This window comes from Homo sapiens, chromosome 13, assembly GCF_000001405.40.
Source record: "Homo sapiens chromosome 13, GRCh38.p14 Primary Assembly".
Lineage (NCBI taxonomy): Eukaryota > Metazoa > Chordata > Mammalia > Primates > Hominidae > Homo > Homo sapiens.
Genome location: NC_000013.11, coordinates 25,172,442 through 25,193,467, shown reverse-complemented (window position 1 = coordinate 25,193,467; position 21,026 = coordinate 25,172,442). Strand labels below are relative to the sequence as shown.

Genomic DNA, 21,026 nt, shown 5'->3' with positions numbered 1-21,026 from the left:
ATGGAAGTAAAAAATGTTATTCTAGTGACACACTTAAACCAAGCTAATATAAATCTTAAATCAGCTTAAGTAGTAATAAGATTCAAGCATCTGTTGTCTCCAGAAGACATTGTTATGTGTTAACTGCCCAAGAACAAGCACTTGTTCTCAGCTCAGCAAATGACTCTGCCCAGGGTGAAGTACTATGTCTCTCTTTGAACTCCAACCCAGTTCATCTCTCCAAGCTCAACTGCGTTCTCCTCTTCTCTGCCTAGAATCTCCCTTGTTGTGGATTTCAGACCTTGAGTGTACAGCTCCCCATCTGGACTCTCGTGAAGGTCGTGGTAAACAACACACAGAGCATCTCTTTGTCACGGGCTCAGCTGACACGTCTCCCTCCCTCACCACTGCCCCGCCAGCCTCCAGCAGCACATCTGCGGTGGACAATGAGTCTCATTTCACATTTTGGCTCTGCGGTAGGCATCATCATGGGGACAGAATACACACCACAGGATAATAAACAAGGGACTGTTCAAGAACAAATATCAAAATAAAGACAAAAGGAAAGAGGAGCTGTTTGTCTCTCTATTCTTCCAGTTTCCCAGCATTTCTTCACAGGTCATGAAAACCTCCAGTTCCATCCACCATAATGTTTTCCACCTTCAAAGGCTTCTCTGAAGAGAGACTGTAGTGTTTGTCTTGGGATAAAATTTGCTTTCTCCGGCATGTCTGTCCTGTTGAGCTTTATCCAATGGCCCGGGCAAGAGACAGCAGCGTATAGGGAGGACATTGCTGCTGGGATCACCAGCAGGAGGAGCCCAGAGTGGCAGGGGAGGCTGGAGTGGGGTCCAAGCAGAGCCGTGGCCCCCGCTGCCTGCTGTTGGGGGAGTCAAGTGTTGTGGGGTGACGCTTGGGAGTCAAGTATTACGGGATGGTGGTGGGGAGTCCAGCAAGAGAGAGAAGGGAGAAGAGTCAAAGGGTGCTCCCGGGGGGTCCTCCCAAAGCACTGTCTCTCATGTGGGCAGCTCTCTTCTCCTCCCCACCCACAGGGCTTCTGGAAGGTCTCCTGCAGAGCCTACCTTTCCCTGAGTTGGTCCTTATTCACCTTATTCACCTGAGTCTTAGGGACTCAGAGCTCAAGGTATGCATCTTGAGCATGTTACTGAACCATGTAACTCATTCTGCCTCCATGTTCGTGGGGTGCACACAGAAAGGTCCACAAAAGCCATGTGTTTGCTCAGACAGAGGCCCCACAAACAGGGCTGTGTGTGCTGTATTTTCTTTCTTTCTTTGTTTACAGACAGAGTCTCACTCAAGTGACCCTCCTGCCTCAGCCTCCCAAAGCACCGATATTACAGGTGTGAGCCACCATGCCTGGCCCTGTGTACTGTATCTTCTTTTCCACATACACAGTAATGCTATTTACTTTTTAATTAGTAGAATAACCAACTCCTCCTGGTTTGCCAAGAACTTTCTTGATTTTGAAGCTGAAAGTCCCATATCTTGGGAAATCCCTCCATTTCAGCAAATTGAGATGGTTGGTCACATCTTATCAAGGAAATTTGTAAATTACAAATTTACTCTCAAGAAAATTTGTAAAATGTCCATATGTCCTCTTTAAGTAGGGTCTGTATTTTGCTGATTTTTGTGTCCCCTGGCTGGAGCAGCCAGCCTTGGGCATGATAAATAGGTGTTCACCATTCACTTGAGAAGTTACTCCTTTCTGCTAGTAGAGGTGGAGTGTGCTGACTGTCCATGCACTCTCAGTGGTCGCTCTGAAATGAAAACCTTGCATTTAGTACTTAGCTGAGCTAGAGGTAAAGTGAGAGGCTGTAGGACAGAGATTTCTCCTGCATAAAAGAATCTGAGGGCTGGGTGTGGTGGCTCACGCCTGTAATCCCAACACTTTGAGAGGCCAAGGCCAGCAGATCACCTGAGGTCAGGAGTTCAAGACCAGCCTGGCCAACGTGGTGAAACCCCATCTCTACTAAAATCACAAAAAACTGCCGGGTATGGTGGTGCATTCCTGTAACCCAGCTACTCAGGAGGGTGAGGCATGAGAATTGCTTGAACCTGGGGGGCAGAGGTTGCAGTGAGCAGAGATTGAGTGCAGTCTCCAGGCTGGGCGACAGAGCGAGACTCCGTCAAAAAAAAAAAAAAGTAGCCTAATAGTTGGATTAATACGTAAAAGATTTGGTAAATAAATCAATAAACTCCAAAGGGGGTAAGAGTGACTTCATTTCAGTTATTTGAAAAGGAGGTAGAAATATTTAACAAAGAACACTCTTGATGGGAAGAAAAATGGAAGGATTAAACAGAATGACCCTTTAGCTTTTGGATTTTATAGGCTTTTCCAACATTATGAAGATGTATGTGTCTCAGGGAAATAACATGATATAGTTTGAAGGCTAACCAGTGAAGTTTCCTCATTTGTAGAATGCGAGGCTAAAGGAGGGAGACAAGACTCGCTCTGCACTTCCCCAACCTCAGCCTCTTTAGGCGACATCTGTGTGGTAGCATTTATTATTCATGAGTGTTCTTTAAAGCAAGAAAAATTTGAGGATCAAATAGGATCTTTCAAGTGTAGGAACTATTGGGCATGACTTGTTTATGGCAGTCAGTAAAGGATGGTGAAATACAAGTGTGATTGATTGTAAAAGCACTACAATTTCGCTTCATTTTAAACATTGCATTTGGCTAAGGAAAATCAGTTCCTTTCCCAAGCTTTTAAAAAAGGATATAAAGATGTTGTCTGGCTTACATATCACCAAAAAAAAAAAAAAAGAAAAAGAAAAAGAAAAACAAAAAACAACCAGCACACATTATTTTTTCTCAGCACACATATGCCACAAAGTCACAATTATCTATTTATTCTGGGATTAGACATAGGGCTGCACCAAGAACAGATTAAAATGCTCTGACTTCATTAGTTTAATTAGGGAGTTCCAAAGTAGATTTTTGCAGCTAAATTCTTTGGCCATGCAGGGTGAGCAGCTGTTGCCCAGACACTATCCTCAAAGGTAAAGCTCCCAACGCCACGGTCTGCAGAGCACTTGCTCCTCCCAGGCTGGCCTCAGTTAGCCATCGTCGGGGAAGCCCGTGGGACCACATCCTGCAGTCCCAGCTTGCAGGACCTATACAGCCACTTCAAACATTATTTCCAAGAGAGACCCCATTGACCTCTTCTGTTATTATTCAGACATATGTTAAGCTCTGCAGCAGGACTGGCTAGATCATATGCAGTGCCCAGTGAAAATAAAAATTCAGGGCTTCTTGTTCAAAAAGTATTAAGAATTTCAAAACTCACCAGTGGGGCATTAGCCCAGCATGGGCCTGGTGCAACTGATGCCACATGCCATGAAGCAGTCCTGCTTTGCAGTCTGAATCATGCGTATGATCTGAGCTGGGGTTCTTTCTCTCCGTCCCTCTCTCTGCTCAGGTTCTACCATACTCTTCTACACAGGAAGCCAGGCTGAGGTCAAGAGTCATTGTGTTCTGTACACAATGCATACATGATGGATTATTTACCAGGTGAGGGCCTCTTTATTTGTACCTCATGATATAATCCCTAAAAGCTGCTATTCATGAAAGGAAGTGTGCTATTCCTGACTGAAGAATACGAAAATGTCCTCCAGCCTAAGATTCAAATATTGTTGAATGTCTTTGAGATCCTCAGCCAGGAAGACAAATGCTATTTACAGAGATCTGAAAGACTCATAATGCAGAACTATGGTCTGATTTAAAAAAAAAAAAACACCTAAAATGAACAAGCTCTAATTGTATAACAGAGATTTTGTAAAAGATCTTTCTCAGCAACAGTATTCTGTTACTTGGGCATCATAATGTCCAGAAAAGTAGAGACAAGCAAGCTGGAGGTTATTTGGAACATTAGCAAGCCAGCTACGATGGCAGGGTGGCACCAAGTTCCAAACAAATTAAAGGTCTACAGAGCAGAGCTATCAACCAACCTCTTGATCACTCCCCTGCTTAACCTTCTCCTTCTTGACCCTTAGCTATGAGTTTTCTACAAGATGATTCCTTTACCCCCTTTCCTTTCCTCCTCTCTGGTTCTTCATTATTTTTTCTCATCAATTGCATTCACTCCCATTGCTTTGACTGCTGCCTGTAAGGAGAAGGCTCAGAGAATTATTCCAGTCTGGTTTTCCCCAGTGTTAGCTGTGCATCTCCATGTGCGTGCTGGCCACCTTGACCCTCCTGTGCCAGATGTACCTGAAATTCAATCGGAGAGAAATGAACAGCAACTCCCAACTCCCCTAGTCATTAAACTTCAGCATCCTTCAGTTCTCTTTTCTCTCCTCTGTTCACCCTTCACGTTCAGCCAGGTAATTACAATGTGGCTCTATGCCCACAATGTTTCTAGAATTTACTCTTTCTTCCTGTCTAGCAGCAGATGGGCGACTGAACTCCATGCTCATGTCCCGGTTTGCCCCCTGTAATCTGCCTGCCTACAGACAATGATAAACTCCCACCTGCCCCAAAACTTCAATATTTCCCTCTGCCCACAGAATAAACCCTTTAATTTAGCATTTACAGCCTTCCTTAAACTAATCTTAATCTATCTTCAAGCTTCCCCTCCCAAAAACTACTCCTTTGTGAATCGTACCCTCCAGCTCGAATCAGCATTCACACCTTTTGAGGACGCTGCACGCTTCCCTATCCCCAGCCATTCCTGTCCTGCCCCATAGGCCTCTGCTATGTTAGGAAGGCCTCCTCTCCGCATTTTCTCACCCACACCAGGGAAGCACCCCTGGTTACCCCTGTCAGGAGTCATTGTCCTCGTTTGGAGGGTCTGAATCCCACTGAATTGTGCCTTTCAAATGGCACTTGTTCCACCTGGTCATAGGCAAAATTTCTGTCCTAGATTCTGTAAGCTACTTGAGGATAGGGCTTGTGTCTTATTTTGCTTTCCTGAGCTCAGTAAATAACTTTGAATATGATTGACTAGATGCAGATGTAGTTATCACAGCTGTCACATCCAACTATATAAGTGGCTCTATCAACATCGTGTTTAATGTTAACATCATGTTTAATGTCACTGACGATGATGTCTGAGAATGTGGTCTGTTAACACACATCACCACCACCACCTCTTGCTGTCTCTGTTGCTACCACCTTAGCCCAAACCACCAGGAACCTTCCTAATTGGCCTCCCCATGCCACCTTGCCCCTAGATCCAATCTCCACATGGCAGCCAGGTGAGATTCTTCAAACGTAAGCTAGTTCTCACCAGCCCATGTTTAGAACCTTCTAGAATTTCTGTAGAGAAAAGGCTCAGAGTCCTAACCTCATAAGAAAAGATAACTAGAAGAATTGTTTCGATGCTGTATTTGTACACCAAATGCACAATGTCATTATACATTTAGAGGGTATAAAAGTCAGGGATGCTGGTGGAGAAGCTCAAGTATTTCCCAAACCACCTAAGCTGCTGGTAGCTGGGTTCCAGCTGGAGCGTGTTCATGTGGGAAGAATCAGAAAGGAGATGGGGATCCCTGCAAGTCTGGGTCCTGCTTTGGTTTGGAATCTACTAGACAGCCAGTTCTTTCTCTTACACTCTCTTCCACCCTAGCCACTAATCCCTTCCACACTCTCCGGTCCTGCCTTCTCCCCACTTCCCCGCAGGGCAGGCTGCAGGTCTAAATGGAGCCATGGCCCTTTCCTTCCAGGAGAACTTTCCTGTCTCTTTAAGGACAGAGAATTCTTGCCTGGTTTCCTCGGGCTTCGTTCCTGCCAGAGAGCAGAGAGTGGGAGACAGGGAAACATGCACTGGGGTGCCTGTTGTCTCCAGCCATCTGTGTACGAAGTGAGAGGACCAGAGGCTTGTACTCAATGTGAATACAATGCTTCACAAGGGCATGAGAAAAATTCTGTTTAGTTAGAATGACAAACATCATTTTCACAGGTGTGAGAAGAAATTGTCAGCATACAGGCCGGGCGCCATGGCTCACACGTGTAATCCCAGCACTTTGGGAGGCCGAGGCAGGCCAACCGCCTGAGGTCAAGAGTTTGAGACCAGCATGGCCAACATGGCAAAACTCCGTCTCTACTAAAAATACAAAAATTAACTGGGTGTGGTGGCAGGTGCCTGTAATCCCAGCTACTCGGGAGGCTGAGGCAGGAGAACCGCTTGAACTCAGGAGGCGGAGGTTGCAGTGAGACGAGATCGCACCATTGCACTCCAGTCTGGGCAACAGAGCAAGACCCAGTTAAAAAAAAAAAAGAAAAAAAAGAAAGAGAGAGATAGAAAGAAAAGAGGGGGCCGGGCGCGGTGGCTCACGCCTGTAATCCCAGGACTTTGGGAGTCTGAGGCAGGCGGATCACGAGGTCAGGAGATCGAGACTATCCTGGCTAACACGGTGAAACCCCATCTCTACTCAAAATACAAAAAAAAAAAAAATTAGTCAGGTGTGATGGTGGGCACCTGTAGTCCCAGCTACTCGGGAGGCTGAGGCAGGAGAATGGTGTGAACCCAGGACGCATAGCTTGCAGTGAGCCGAGATTGTGTCACTGCACTCCAGCCTGGGCGACAGAGCAAGACTCTGTCCAAAAAAAAAAAAGAAAGAAAGAAAAGGAGGGAGGGAGGGAGGGAGGAAGGAAGGAAGGAAGGAAGGAAGGAAGGAAGGAAGGAAGGAAGGAATTGCAATGAAAGAATAGTGTCGCATGGACCACCTACAAGAAACTTCTCGCACATTAGTAACAGGGAGTTATTCTGGTGCTTCATGTTGTTGGAGGGAGGAAGGGAAGAAAGAAGCTTATTCAAGTACAACCCACCTGCAAGCCCCTTGTCTGTTCTCAGAGAAGCTGTGAATAGCTGTTGTGCTTCTGAGACCTTGGAAAGATGTGTGCGTGACCGCATGTCTATGAAATTTCAGAGATCCCGCTTCAGATGGAAATATTAGGAGCCCTTCCCGGTCTTCATGAATTCACCTGTGTCAGCTGCAGAAAGGCTGCAGTGGGGTGATAGTTTCGGATTGATTAGTCAGAAGCTAAATGTTGAACAGAGGTAGCAAGATGAGCACTTTCTGTGGGTAGCCCCCCGAGTTTTGCTAGTCTGCCAAAAAGGGAACCATCTGTATTGGAAAGTGTGGTTCACGGTGCAGGTCGTTGCTGAAGGTGAGTTAGGAATCTGTAGGGCGGCCCAAAACTAGCACATGCACCCGGTGCGCACTCGCAGGCCACAGAGTCCTCACCCACCCTCCTGTGCCTTCTGTGCCCTTATAGAAATCCTGCCAGCATGTCACGGAGGCAGTCTACCAACAGGACGAGGAGAAGTCAGAACACCGAGATCTGCCTTTTACAAACGTTTGAACTGTCCAGCTTCCACTTTGAGGTGGTAGTTACCAGCGCAGGGTAGGGAGGGCAGAAGCACCCATTGGCAGGTGCGCCGCCTGCGCCTGGAGGGAAAAGGAAACCGCAGCTGTCTTTCCCACACTGGCTGCTCCCTGCTTTTTGATTTTTTAAAATTTTTCCAAACAGTAAAATTTCCATTTTCCCAGGCACCTGGGCTCCAAATATGCGTTATCTTTGAAGACTTGGTAAAGACAGCAGATTCATATAGAAGAATACAAATCACCCAGCGTCCTAATCCAGAGCTGGCCACTGCTACTGTTGATTAAATTTCCCTTGATGCATATTGTTTTACATGGTTGACACTATCCTGGGTGTAGTTTCAAGATTGTGTGTTGCTTTTTCCTTGCTCCGAAGGGAGTGGGGAGAAATGTTATCATAAGCATTTTCCCATGTCATGAAAAAATTCTTCATACAATAATGCGAGGGGAAATGTATATTATTAGCAACTGATATGAGAATTCCTTTTAGGGGAAAACTTGCCTTTTTAAAGAAAAAAAGCTCTGAGGAGAAGTGTGGGGAATCATTTGTCAGTTGCTCCAGGAAGTAAAGGAAGCAAGAGTGAGTGAGAGACAGAGCCGGACTGTGCAATCCCAGCCCCATCCAGGAGCCGCACAACCATGGCCAATCACCCAAATCAAGAAATACTCGAGGGAAATAGGAACTGAATTAAAGCAGCCCTGGGCAGGGCATAGCCAGAAAAAAGCACTTGAAAAGAAGCTCTTGGTAATCTACAAAGTTAATGGGAAAGATTTGCATTTCATAAATTGTGGAAGGGAGAATCAGGGCATATTAATCAGACATCTGAGAGACTACAAGGAGGGCCCCTCTGGTCCCTCAGCTGGCATCAGGTTGATGTTCACAAAGTCTTGGTGGTTGCTCTGTGTTCCATTAAACAGCAATATCATTTAACTAACACTTTGAATAAGTTTATGTTCAGATTATTTACTTGAACTTTGAAATCACAAGGTTGAAAGGCACAAGCATTTTAAATTAATACCTGGTCATTTTGAAGAATGTCTATGAATTTCCAGATCTACAGGCAGCGGTATGAGAGCCATTTCTCTGCATCCTCGCCATCACCTACCTGCTATTTAGAATCTACTCCATACGCCACTGCCTCCATGAAGCCTTTTGTGACCTGCCCAAGTGTAAATAATGTGTCTTATAAACCCTATAATGTCTCATGTTCCCTGCACCCAGGCAGTGAGTGATTCTATTTTGTTTCATATTCTGACTATTAGCATGTATACCTCCTCCTTGAGCTATGCTGTAAGCAGCTTGAAGGTAGACTCTTGAGGCTTTCTTTTGCTTATTGTAAAATAAATAGTGAAGGGGAGCAGAAGCCCATGTTTCTTAAAGAGTGGGCAGCCCTTGCTGCTCTGATTTCATGTCTCCTGACCCAGATTCATAAAAGGATCAGGTTCTAAGATCCTGCTGTTACAACTGATCTGGTGCCTGCATCAGTGAGGACTCTGGAGAACAGAAAGCTGCAAATAGGTGAACAGTGTTGAGGCAGAAAGGGCATGAGGTGGGGTGAGATTCCAGCATGGAGTGTTAAAGAAATTATTTGAGAAGGGAAGTTGTGATTGCCAAGCGTCAGCAGGGCCTCAGTAAGAACATCCTGGCCAGACACAGTGGCTCACTTCTGTAATCCCAACACTTTGGGAGGCTGAGGCAGGAGGATGACTTGAGCCCAGGAGTTTGAGGTCAGCCTGGGCAACATAGCGAGACTCTGCCTGTACAAAAACACAAATTAAAAAATTAGCTAGGCATGGTATTGCATGCCTATAGTCCCTGCTACCTGGGAAGCTGAGGCAGGAGGATCACTTGACTTCAGGAGTTGAAGGCTGCAGTGAACCATGATCTTGCCATTGCACTTCAGCCTGGGTGACACAGTGAGACCCTGCCTCTAAAACAAACCAAGACACATCCAGACTGACCTAATTTCTTTTGCTGCCAAGATCATGGGTGAGCACAGTGCTGGTGATGGTTCTTTTGGCTCCTGAGTCAAGAAGTAAAAATGTGTGCCCAGACAAGTTGGTGGATCCAGAATTATCTGAACAACTCTGCCTTATCAGTTTGCACAGGTTGCAGATCAGTGTCTGGATTTTAATATGGAGAGAGGTTTTCCATGATGTTCCTCAGAGCTCCTTCTTGTATCTGAACAGGCCAATAGTTTTATCGATGACTTTGAAGAAGTTGTGGAAGGAGGAGGGAAGTCATGAGTCAAATGCAGGTTTGACTGAAAGCTGAGTGGACCATGACTGCAGTGGAAGATGAAATCAATGAGTAAGACTGCTAGGCCAAATTTCACAAAATATAATTTAACTTTGGTCTTTCAAAGCAATTGCACAATTACAGGGTAGGGGGGGCATCAGAGTTTCAAGTAACAGAATTTCTATATGTTGGTCAAGAATTCCTGTTGATTCAATCTCCATATTTAAAGACAGGAGATGATGGGCCTTCTGTTCTCACCAGGCCAGACATACCTTGGAGTATGACATTTAGTTCTGCAACACATCAGAAGAGAGGGACAGTACCATTCCACATTTTATAAGAAACACTTGAAGAAAGAAGAAGCTTGAAGAGCAGGAGACTTGGAGATACTTGATAGCTAGTTTCAAATACCTAGAGAGATGTCATTTTGTGTATGCATGAATTAGTTTTCTAGAGGGGCAGTATGGTGTTGAATTTTCTGGTTCTTGGAGTTTCTGCACATGGATGCAATAATATATGCCACCTGACATGCTCTTTTTTGTTCTCCAATAAAGAGGCAGAACTTAATTACCCTCTGCTTGAATCTGGTCTGGCTCTGTGACTTATTTTGACTGACAGAATAAATATGTGAATGTAATGTGTATAACATCTGAGGCTAGGTCTGTACAGATATGCAGTATTCACCTTTTCTGATTAAAATGCTTGCTTTTGGGGTCCAACTGTCAAGAAAAGAAGCCCAAGCTAGTTCTTTGGTGTGAGCCACATGGAACCTCCCAACTGTCCTTGCCAGATGTGTGAGTGACACCATCCTGGACATCCTGGTCCTAGTGGCCATCATACTGCAATCCATGAAAGACCTCAGTTGATGCTGTGTGGAGCAGAAGATTCGCCCAGCTTAGCCCTGACAAAATATCTGATCCACAGAATTGTGAGCAAATAAAATGATTACCATTTAAAGCCATTAAGTTTTGGAGTAGTATGTTACTCAGTAGTAGACAATCAAAACAGTGATTAAGAAGATATATTATGAGGCTGGGTGCAATGGCTCACACCTGTAATCTCAGCACTTTGGGAGCCTGAGGAGTGCAGATCTCTCGAGGCCAGAAGTTCAAGACCAGCTTGGCCAATATGGTGAAACCCCATCTCTACTAAAAATTAAAAAATTAGCAAGGTGTGGTGACATGCATGTGTAATCCCAGCTACTCAGGAGGCTGAGGCATAAGAATCACTTGAACCTGGGAGGCAGAGGCTACAGTGAGCTGAGATCACACCACTGCACTCCAGCCGGGGCGACAGAGTGAGACACAATCTCAAAAAAAAAAAAAAAAAAGAAAAGAAAAGAAGAAGGTATACTAATGGAGACAGAGTGCTTTGCCACTCAGTAGTTACTGACCTTGAGCAAATCACTTAATTTCTTTGTGCCAGTTGCCTGATCTGTAAAATGGGAGACCCCACCTCATGTGATGACTGTGGGGTTAAATGACTGAATGCATGAAAATCACCTGAAACTGCATCTGGCCTATAAAAGCTGCTCAATACAGGAGTATAACTAGAACTAAGGGAAGAAGCTGTGAAGATTAAAAAGAAAATCAGCTCTAAAAAGAAAACTCTAGTGGGATTGTCAGGACATGGAGTAAACTGCCTCTGGATGCAATGAAGTGCTTTCCCTGGAAGCATTCCAATCGTGACTGGCTGGCTGCTTATACAATTTTGGGATTGAGGACCCTGCTGACCTTGAGATTCTATGTTTCCGTGGTGCTGGGGATGAGGTAGGCATTCTATGTGCTCAATAGGCTTTTCTCGAATTGACTTAAGTTAGATATATAAGAAAGAAGTACTCACCCAGCTAAATCATGACAATTTCAAGATTACCCAACATATTTTATTTGGCATAATGTTTTCTCATCAACCATTAATGTTCCTGAACACATCCTTTATCTGTAAGATAAAGGACTTGAAGCAGACCTAAGTGGCTTATTAATTATTGAATGGACTGCTTATACTACCTTCCTGCCTGCGAATTCAAAGCTGGAACATGAGGCAAAGCCACTCTGCCTCCCTGCCCAGAGAGGGACTGTCCCAACCTCCCCAGTGCAGGGGCGAAAAGGCACAAAGACACAGATCTCACTTCACTCCTCTGCAGCTTCTGAGAACACTTAAAACAAAACAGCCCCAATGTAGCCCCTGAAATGCAGAGGTTCAAGAAAGGAGAGGTACCGATTTCTTCAATAGTTCACAAAGGAATAGGGAGGTCTGAAATGGAAATCTTTCTGCCTGTGACAGTCTCATAAAGTGTCCCCAGACTGTTCCCAAGGGCCCTGGGCAATAACAACCCTAAAATCACTTGTAATTCAGCTGAATATTTCTTACCAGGTCAGTCTAGGGCAGGGCTCCAGATAGGGACAGAGACTCAGGAGAGCAGTGCTTCTGGGCCAGACAGGGGTGGGGCCCCAGGCTTGCTTCCTGTGCTATTCAGTTTCTCCACACTCGGACATCAAAGACAGTGATCTTCTGACTCTAAATGAGGGCAGACTGACCCAAGAAACAGGGACAGGTGGTTACTTTGCTACTCACTCCGAAACCCCACATGGGGTATTTTAATAGTGTTCTCCATCTGTCCAACCTCAGGGGTTAATCCCTTCCTAATCTGAGCTGTAATAATTGGGTAATCAGACAAGACACTCCAAAAAGCCCAGGCCATAGTTTTGCTGTTCTTTTTGGCTAGACTTTTCTTTTATTAGAGTGAAGTATAGCTGACCTAGAAATTTCCTGTTTCAGCTTCAGTCTTCCACTAAACAAAAGCAGACACTGCTAAGAAGGATGCATGTTTAGAAAGCACAGCCCTCCTTCTTGGGGGGAATTTCAGTCACTGCTCACTGAACACACAGGAAGGAGAGCTGCTATGCGCAAATCACATGATCCTGCTTTTTGCTACAAACTGAAAAAAAAAAAAAAAAGGAAAGAACAGAAAAAGCCCCCAAAGGCCCATAGTTAGCCTGGGCTAATGAGCTCACTGGTGTGAGTCCAGGAAACATCCCAGAATGAATACATCTGCTGAGATTTCTGTCTTTTGAAAAAAGTAACCTTGCTGTGGTGGATAGCAAATGAAACATCAATGAAAGCTGCATGAAACCGGATCAGGGACTTAACCTAAAACCCACGAAGAAAACCTGGTAGGTGGTTAGGATCCGGGACAGAAGTAAGCCTGACTATTTGAGGATTAACCATCATGGAGGAAAACATAGATTTTTTTTTTTTCAAAGAAGAAGAAGAAAAAACTAACACCCAAGCTGCTGAGGCCTGATCACACTGACCTACAATCCGGGATGGAACAATGGTACTGTCGGCCTGATGAGCTGGAGAGTTCACACCAAACCAAGTCTCACACTGACGAGCCTCCTGGTCACCGTGCAGGGCAGGCATTATGATTTATTCATGGTAGCACCCAGCACACGGGAGAGACTCTATAAATGCTCACGGAATGGAATGGACACCATGGGGGTCCTTTCTAAGCTACTCTGGAGGTGGGAATAACCACAATCAGGTTTTTAATCTAGTGTATTTCAAACATTTTCTAGACGTGTTTGCTTTAACCAAAAAATACATTCCCCTAAGGGAAGGCTGAAGGGTAGGGAGAGAGCTGGGAGCAGGCGATAGAGATTGGTACAGGGAGGTCTTGAGAGGAAATGCACTGTCTTGCGGGAGGGGGAAGCGTGGAGGAAAGTGAACCCACTAGGGAGACGGAATGCTTCCTTTCCCCACCACAGCTACTGAGTAGGTTGATTTGTAGCACATTCTGCCAGCTGCCTGCTCTAATCTGTTCTCTCCTTCTGTAGTAATAGGAATGTGGCCAGGCACGTGGTTAGACCATATTTCCCACTCTCTAGTAGCCAGATGTGGCCATGTGACTAGATGTCACCCACAGAAGTGAGAGGAAGTGATTTGTTCCATGTCGGAGTCAAGCTTCTTAGAAATGGACGTGCTTCTTCCGGGATCTCTTTCTCCTTCCACCAGCTAAATGCAGATAGCAACAACCACACAGTGGGGACACAGAGAAGTGAAGCCTGGGGCCCTGAATGATCACATGGAAGAGACTCACCCTTCTGGTTTCAATATTTGACTTATAGGTGAGTGCTATGATCTGAATGTTTGTGCCCTCCCCAAATTCATATGTTGAAATCCTAATCTCCCAGGTGGTGGTATCAGGAGGTGAGGTTTTTGGGGAAAGGATTAAGTCACAAGGGTGATGTCTTCATGAATGGGATTAGTGCTTTTATAAAATAGGGCCAAGGGAGCTCATTCCCCCTTCTACTATGTGATGACACAGGTAGAAGGCACCATCTGTGAACCATAAAGCAAGCCCTCACCAGATAGCTAATCTGCTGGTGCCCTTGACCTTGGACTTTTCAGCATCCAGAACAGTGAGAAATAAATTTCTATTCTTTATAAGGCATTCAATCTATGGTATTTTGTTATGGATGCCCAAATGGACTAAAACAGTGAGTAAGAATAGACCTCTATTGAGTTGACCTGTTTTATTGTGGGATCTATTTGCTACACAAACTAGCATGATCTTAAGTAGCATATTTGACTACCAAGGGAAGTAACCCACCCTGCCATGTGACTCAAAGGGGGAAAGGAGGTCATGACCCAAGAAAAGGAGTCATCCGCCTCTGATTGAGATGATTGAGCCACTCAAGTGCAGCTCTGCTGGTTGGCTGATGTGCCTGTCACAGAGGGGAAGAACTGTACTTCTCACTCTCATCACAACCCTCTTTCGGTAAAAGTCAGAGCCAACTTATGGGAAGTCAGCCCTGGGGCACCACGATGACTGACACTGTATAGAAATTGGCCTGAGCATTTTTGTGATGTATCATGGGAATATGCTGGGCCTCTGACGGAAACAGAGGATCTGGGGTCCCAGTCTTACATGAGAAATGCATAGGAATTCATTAGCTGCACAGAGACGGTAACAGCATCTCAGATGATAGCTGCAATGTTTAGAAAAGCAAGAGGACAATAACATATTCAGGAAACATGCTCAAAATTGTTGGAGCATAGACTGTGAGAGCAAGTATATTTGTGTATTGTTTGTAGGAGGTTAGGGATGGGGCAGGGCTGAGCAATTAAACTGGAATAGGTAGGCAAAGATACAGAAAAAATGGTAAGACTCAGCTTTCAGAGTTCAAAATATGCTTTTGAAGTCCATTATATCTTTGGGGAAAAAAAAGTTTTTTTGTTTGCCAAAGCTACGGTCATTTGAACTTCAGGAGCCGAGATCTTGACCTAAGCAATAAGTTTAAACAAATATGTAATTGCTCTGAATGTGGTTTTGTCTGCTATCTAGACGACTTAAGATCCCAAGACTTTAGGAAATGGAAGAAAAGAAGTTGCAGAGGAGGAAAGTGCAGGACAAGTCCCCAGATGGCCTTGGATAACCAGCTCTTCCCCCATTACTTGCCTGTGGTTCTCAGAATAACTGTAGAATGTGCTGGGAATGCAACATCCTGAGAAAAGGAGGAATTGGCTGGGATAGCCTGGGCTCTGTTCCCGTCACCCCTAGAACAGGATGTCCTGCAATACTTTATCCCAGCGATCCCTGGGTCCCCTGGCCATAAAACCTAAGGCAGAGTGTGCTTTCACAGTCCCTCAGCTGTGGTGCAACATAGGGCACATGCAAATGGGCTCCATGGGGCCTGGGCAGAACTACTGAGCCTTGGAAGATTGCTTCACTTAACTTGCTGTGTGAGTTCTCTGTCTCACTGCACTTGTGCAAGTGGATTGCTACTGGTGCATAGTTACCGGTGAAGTGTTTAGAGTCCTCCCCTGGGATTGATACCTGTGCACCGTGAAACTGCTCCACAGAAAGAATGCAAGAGCCTGCTGAGGGTCTTTAGGAAGGGGCTCTGCTCCCTGCACCCTCCATCCAGATTAGCTCCTAAGGAGTGGGGATAAGACACCCCTCCCCTCATGAGCTTAGGGACCTGAGAGTAGAGAGGACCCTGCTACTGTCTGAAACACTCGTGTATGTCCTCAGTGCTGCCATGGCAGGGCCAGTGGAGGGGATCTTAAGATAAGGGGCAGAGGCAGACCTGGAGCGGCATGAGAAAACTAGAGAACGTTCCCATGTCTTTTTGATAGAAGTGGAAGTAGCTGGGAAAAGGGGCCATGATTCAGAAGGGTCGCACAGTTGTGATGTGGGGATGCCATGGCAGAAAGCAGCTTGCTTATATGGCTGGAGATTGGGGGCAATGAGAAACCCGGGCAGAAGGCCTACCTTAGCTACACAGGGTGGTTCATGCTGTGTGTACGTGCTGGGTGGGCTGGACCAAGGCCTGAGTGCGAGGCCAGCTTTGTGTCAAGAAGCAGATGCAGAGTAGGGTTTCTTTAAGACGAGCAAAAGTACACCCAAGGGGCAGGGACTTGGGCTTCCTATCGGTGTCCCACTGTGGTGCAGATCATTTCTGCAGCCCCCCTGCAGCTTCCCAGTCTCGAATCTCTGAGCCTGGCCTCCTCATTAACAACAGAGGGCCCTCATCTTGGGCTCTGGTTCTGGTTTGCATCCCTGCTGGTTAGATGATTCCCACTGTTTATTTGGCTGCTCTCTAACAGGGCATCTATCCATGCCCAAAGCCCTGGCATCCAGTCCATGCACCCTCTGCTATCTGACCTCATTCTGCCCTGTTTTTGGCTGCACTGCACCCACCTTGGTGCCAACAGCTGAAGAAATCCCACCCCCTGTGCAATCTGAGATACAATGTTTTCTAAGAGTAGCTCTAGCTAAATGGCAGAGCCAGAGAAAAGGGAATTATTGGGAGGAGCAGTTATGGTGTGACATGTTTCCCAGGCCATTCTGGCTTCCATGCAGGGACTAGAGAACAGGAAGAGCAACAGTAGTCCTCTTGTTCTACCCTATCCACTACATGGGAACTTTGATACCCGTCTTAGTTTCCTCCTAGAAAATCCTGAGAGACCCCAGGGTGTCACATGTGTACGCCAAGATCTACCCTTCTTGGTCAACACTGTTTTCCTTCTTGCTTCCTCTGGCTGGCAGTGGTACTGTCCCACACTGCTGGCAACCCCAGAAGTGCCATCAGTGACCCCGAACCCTGCTGAAGGCCTACACCTGCTGAAGAAGCTCATGCCCAGTTTGAACCCACTCATGACTGAGCCCAAGGACAGTCTTGTCTGTGCCAAGGGTCCTGGCGGCTGCGTTGAAGGACTGAAGGTGAGGCGGATGCTGTCACCGTTGCTGGTGATGTCGTTTGTTGTAGGTTGAATTGTGTCTTCCAAAAGATCTGCTGGAGTCGTAACCCCAGGTCCCTGTGAATGTGACCTTATTTGGAAATGGGGTCTTTGCAAATGTAACCAAGGTGTAAGTTAAGATGAGGTCATACTGGAGTAGGGTGGGCCTTTAATCAATGTGACTAGTGTCACTCTAAGAAGAGGTAAAGAGACACAGACAGGCACGCAGAGGGAACATAACATCTCCGCCTCAGACCGAGGCAGAGATTGGAAAAATGTGTCTCGAAGCTAATGGATTCCAAAGATTAAACAACTGGAAGCCTGGGGGGAACATGGAAACTGCCCAAATACCAGTGCTGTCAGCTGCCACATGGCCTGTGCCCCCTTGGTGCCTACCAGCATTACAGGGAAAAGCTCATTTTGCCTTTTTTGGTCTTCTGTGGCACTCCCCTTGCCTAGAATCCAGGTACAAACCCATGGGAGGTGGGCAAAGGTAATGTCCTATGAACTTGGAACACCTCCCCTCTGAGCTGCTCCTTTACTCTGCAGGCTACATGGGGTTGTAGCTCCTCCTGGGATGGGCTCTTTCTCCTAGCAGCCTTGACTGTGCACTAGGGTTAATGTGGAAAATCATGAGTTGCAGTGGGCTTTTCGATCGCATATTACTAATTAGAAATAAATTTATCCTCTTAATAAGCATATATCCAGAACAGCTATTAACTCATAGTGAAAGCTGATGTTTGGGGAAATCAGGAATCAAAATATGCTAAAGAAAACACAAGAACTTCAATTTAGCTCAGGGCCTAGTATTCTCAGACCTGTAGCCCTCATGCTGCTCATCCTAGCCTCCAGCCTCAGCTTCCCAGGCAAGGGGGTCACGGGAACATGCCGGCAGCATTGCATCTGGTGCCAGGCTTTCTGCAAGGAGCGTCCACACATTTCTCTCCTGGCACCTGTGCACTTCACATTGTGGTCTCAGCTTCCATGAGGCCCATGGAGGGCAAGGACAGGCCTCAGATACAGGAAGACAGTGGACAGCAGGGGACTTTAAGACCAGTGGCTCTGAGCTTTTTTCTGTTCATCTCATAAAGAGGAACTTGGGCTGGACATTTGGGGGTTCTCACTGGCAGCACAGCTTCTCAAGTCCACCTTGGAGGATAATCCCAGGTGGGAATGGACATGAGCAGGGAGGTAGACATTTCAGCCTGGGGTGAGGTCAGGAGCTGGCCAAGTGGTCTGCAGATGGGAGGTGGTAGTCTCAACTCAGGTATTATTTCCAAACCGTATTGATGAACCATTATCCCTTTAAAGACCCACAGCAAGTTTAAGGTAAAGCTAGCAGCCTCCTTAAGCAGCAATGCTATGACATATGAGAAGTCCCTTAGCAGCAGCCACACAGCAGCTCAAAGGGAAGCTCCTCGGTGGCTCACCTAGGATAGAAAATTCCACCCAGTGCTGGGTGCGGTGGCTTATGCTTGTAATCCCAGCACTTCGGGAGGCCGGGACGGGCAGATCACTTGAGGTCAGGAATTTGAAACCAGCTTGGCAAACATGGTGAAACCCCGTTTCTACTTAAAAAAAAAAATTAGCTGGGTTTGTTGGCGTACACCTGTGATCCCAGTTACAGGCGAGGCAGAAGCAGGAGAATTGCTTAAGCCTGGCAGGCAGAGGCTGCAGTGAGCCCCGAGATCACGCCACTGCACTCCAGTCTGGGTGACACAGCAAGACTCTGGGAAAAAAGAAAGAAGGAAGGAAGGAAGGAAGGAAAGAAGGAAGGAAGGAAAGAAAGAAAGAAAGAAAGAAAGAAAGAAAGAAAGAAAGAAAGAAAGAAAGGAAGGAAGGAAGGAAGGAAGGAAGGAAGGAAGGAAGGAAGGAAAGGGAAGGGAAGGGAGGGAGGGAGGGAGGGAGGGAGGGAGGAAGGGAGGGTGGGAGCGAGGGAAGGGAGAGAGAAGAAGGGAAGGAAGGAAAGGAAGGAAAGGAAAGGAGAGGAGAGGAGAAAGAAAGAGAAAGAAAGGAAAGAAAAGGAAAGAAAGAAAAAGAAAAGAGAAGAAAGAAAGAGAAAGAAAGAAATTCCACCCAGTAAGCTTTGGGCAAAGGGCTGGACTGCTTTGAAGGCACCCTAAAAAAGGAAATGATGATGTGATGATGATGTGATGATGATGATGATGATGATGATGATGACGACGACGTTAAGTTCTCAAATGGTTCTTCCTGTGTTTCTCTTGTTTTTTTTTTTTCCTTTTGAGTACCATCCTCCAGAGAAGCTCACTACCTAGAGAAAAAAGCCTCAACAAAACGACAAATACTTCCTGGTGCCAACAAAGAAAAGCCCACACATGTCTTCCAGCAAAATCCACTTGCTGTTTGCATTTGTGATACGTCTTATTGTTTTGGAATGGCTTTTCCCTGAAATGTTTCCCCTCGGTCCTGTTCTCTATTCCTTTCTACTCTAATTTTCTATTCACTCCCAAGCTGGGGCAGGATGGGGGAAAAGAATGAAAGAAGAAACTATAAACAAAAATGGGAGTGCTTACGGTAAAATTATCTTCACTGTCATGTTCTGTCTCTCAGGGAAAAAAAAAATCACCATTTTGCTTTCTCCACTCTTGACTGTGAAGTTTAATATAAGGTATGGCTCAGTCTTTGTGATGATTCATAACCTGGCTCTAACCAACAAACCATTGGACCATCCTGCGCCTCATCTCTCTCCCCTACAGAGTCTCTCCTTACCTGTCTGGCTTTTGGGGTAAGTTCCTTTCAGCTGACTTCACCCTCGTTTTTCCCACTGTCTCTGTAACAAGGACTTTGAGTAGGACGCTGGAGGGTCCTCACTCACACCGCAGCCTCTACAGCTCCCATGCCCAGTGCCTTCAGATTGTTCCAGGGGTCCCTGCTTTCTTCTATCTCAGGGCCAGTAACTCACAGTGAGGGCACCTTCCGCAGGCTGAAGACAGCTTTGTCTCTTTCTCTTTGTTTGAGTGTTGATGTCCCAAAAGAATGATATCCATCCCAAAGTCCTCTATCAGATTTCTCCCAGGAGGCCCAAAGATTCTCATGTAAATTAGAGTCACATTTGACCTGTCCTGATGGGTGAATAAGCAGACCACTTTCTCCCAGTGGAGAAAGGGAGATTTTTTAATAGGCGACTTACTTTTCCTTGATCCCAGTCACAAACTCTTCCAAACTGACAGAGCTACATAGTAACCCACAAATCTAAGCAACTGTATGGGTGTGTGTGTGTTTGTGTGTGTGTGTGTGTATGTGTGTAAAATTGAGAGACTTTCTATTGTTCTTCAAAAGGTTGTAAAGACGTAACAAATGGGTTTCTCTTTACAGTTCCTTACACGTGGTCTCCCCAGAAAGCACTGAGGACTCTGATTCATCATGTCAAGCGGTCAATTAGAATCCGGGAAAGCCTCTCTCTGGCCTCACCTTACTTCCTGTACCAGGAGAGATGCTCATCAATAGTGAGAAAGAGTTGATGGGATTAGAGTCTGGAAGTGACAACCTCTCCTGAACCTGAACTCATTGATTTCTTCGTTTTACAAAACAGTGTTCTTGAAAAAAATAAACAAAAAAAGGAAATAATACAACTAAGAACTCCAAGGTCTAAATTTTAACCAGCTGTATCTCATAACAACAGAAGCTGCAATGGCCAACATACGTCATTTATAAAACGCCAACTTATGTGGATGGGGATTGGGATTTATTGGCCTAATGCAAAGAGCATATAAAAAATGAGTAGGGAAAAGACTACTGTTTGTGTATATATGTAATTATTACATATATTCTTAAATGATATTTAATAAATAATCAAATGATTAAATAATATATACTATATATACATGTTATATTTATATATGTATATGCTTCTCCAAATTTCTTTTTGCTAAAAAGCACTCAGCTGGGATTATGAAATCAGATGTCAAGATTAGAATATTAGCAGTCACTTTTTAAATCAGAACACAGAACAGATCCCTAGACTGAGCTGTTCCCAGAAAAAAGGTTTTCCCTCTCCCCAGACCAGGCAGGTAGGAATGTCTGCAGAGATCCCTGGACACACAGGGACCCCTGCCAAGCTTTTCCTGCTCTGTACATTGGGGAAGGGGACTACAAGTCAGCCCTGGTGGTATGGGGGAGGGGAGTGGTACCGCAGTGACAGGAATAATGCCACTGTCCTGCTGAGTGGGAAAGGAGAGGGCAGAACCCGGACTCGA

The 21,026-nt window shown here is 45.6% G+C and overlaps 2 long non-coding RNA genes across 2 annotated transcripts, besides 4 other annotated features; one reads left to right on the top strand and one right to left on the bottom strand.

Moving 5' to 3' along the window:
* Positions 1–2,810: 2,810 nt before the first annotated feature.
* On the bottom strand, positions 2,811–12,136 carry LINC01053 (long intergenic non-protein coding RNA 1053). The gene is made up of 3 exons (NR_120427.1): positions 11,935–12,136; positions 6,769–6,944; positions 2,811–4,209 (listed from the first exon to the last, which is right to left on the bottom strand). It is a non-coding gene; the product is annotated as a long intergenic non-protein coding RNA 1053 (long non-coding RNA).
* Positions 12,403–12,452: an enhancer, noted in NCBI's record as "active region_7482". NCBI's record gives its function as "activates an Ori minimal core promoter by ATAC-STARR-seq in GM12878 lymphoblastoid cells {active_cell/tissue: GM12878}" and the evidence as "EXISTENCE:reporter gene assay evidence [ECO:0000049][PMID:35858748]".
* Positions 12,463–12,552: an enhancer, noted in NCBI's record as "active region_7481". NCBI's record gives its function as "activates an Ori minimal core promoter by ATAC-STARR-seq in GM12878 lymphoblastoid cells {active_cell/tissue: GM12878}" and the evidence as "EXISTENCE:reporter gene assay evidence [ECO:0000049][PMID:35858748]".
* Positions 13,411–13,460: a silencer, noted in NCBI's record as "silent region_5184". NCBI's record gives its function as "represses an Ori minimal core promoter by ATAC-STARR-seq in GM12878 lymphoblastoid cells {active_cell/tissue: GM12878}" and the evidence as "EXISTENCE:reporter gene assay evidence [ECO:0000049][PMID:35858748]".
* Positions 13,467–20,644, top strand: LINC00463 (long intergenic non-protein coding RNA 463). Its single transcript, NR_120428.1, has 4 exons — positions 13,467–13,691; positions 16,619–16,792; positions 19,381–19,555; positions 20,146–20,644. It is a non-coding gene; the product is annotated as a long intergenic non-protein coding RNA 463 (long non-coding RNA).
* Positions 19,122–20,321: an enhancer, noted in NCBI's record as "BRD4-independent group 4 enhancer chr13:25747285-25748484 (GRCh37/hg19 assembly coordinates)". NCBI's record gives its function as "activates an origin of replication core promoter dependent on BRD2, P300/CBP, MED14 and CDK7 cofactors, and independent of BRD4, by STARR-seq in HCT116 cells {active_cell/tissue: HCT116}" and the evidence as "EXISTENCE:reporter gene assay evidence [ECO:0000049][PMID:35650434]".
* Positions 20,645–21,026: the final 382 nt, after the last annotated feature.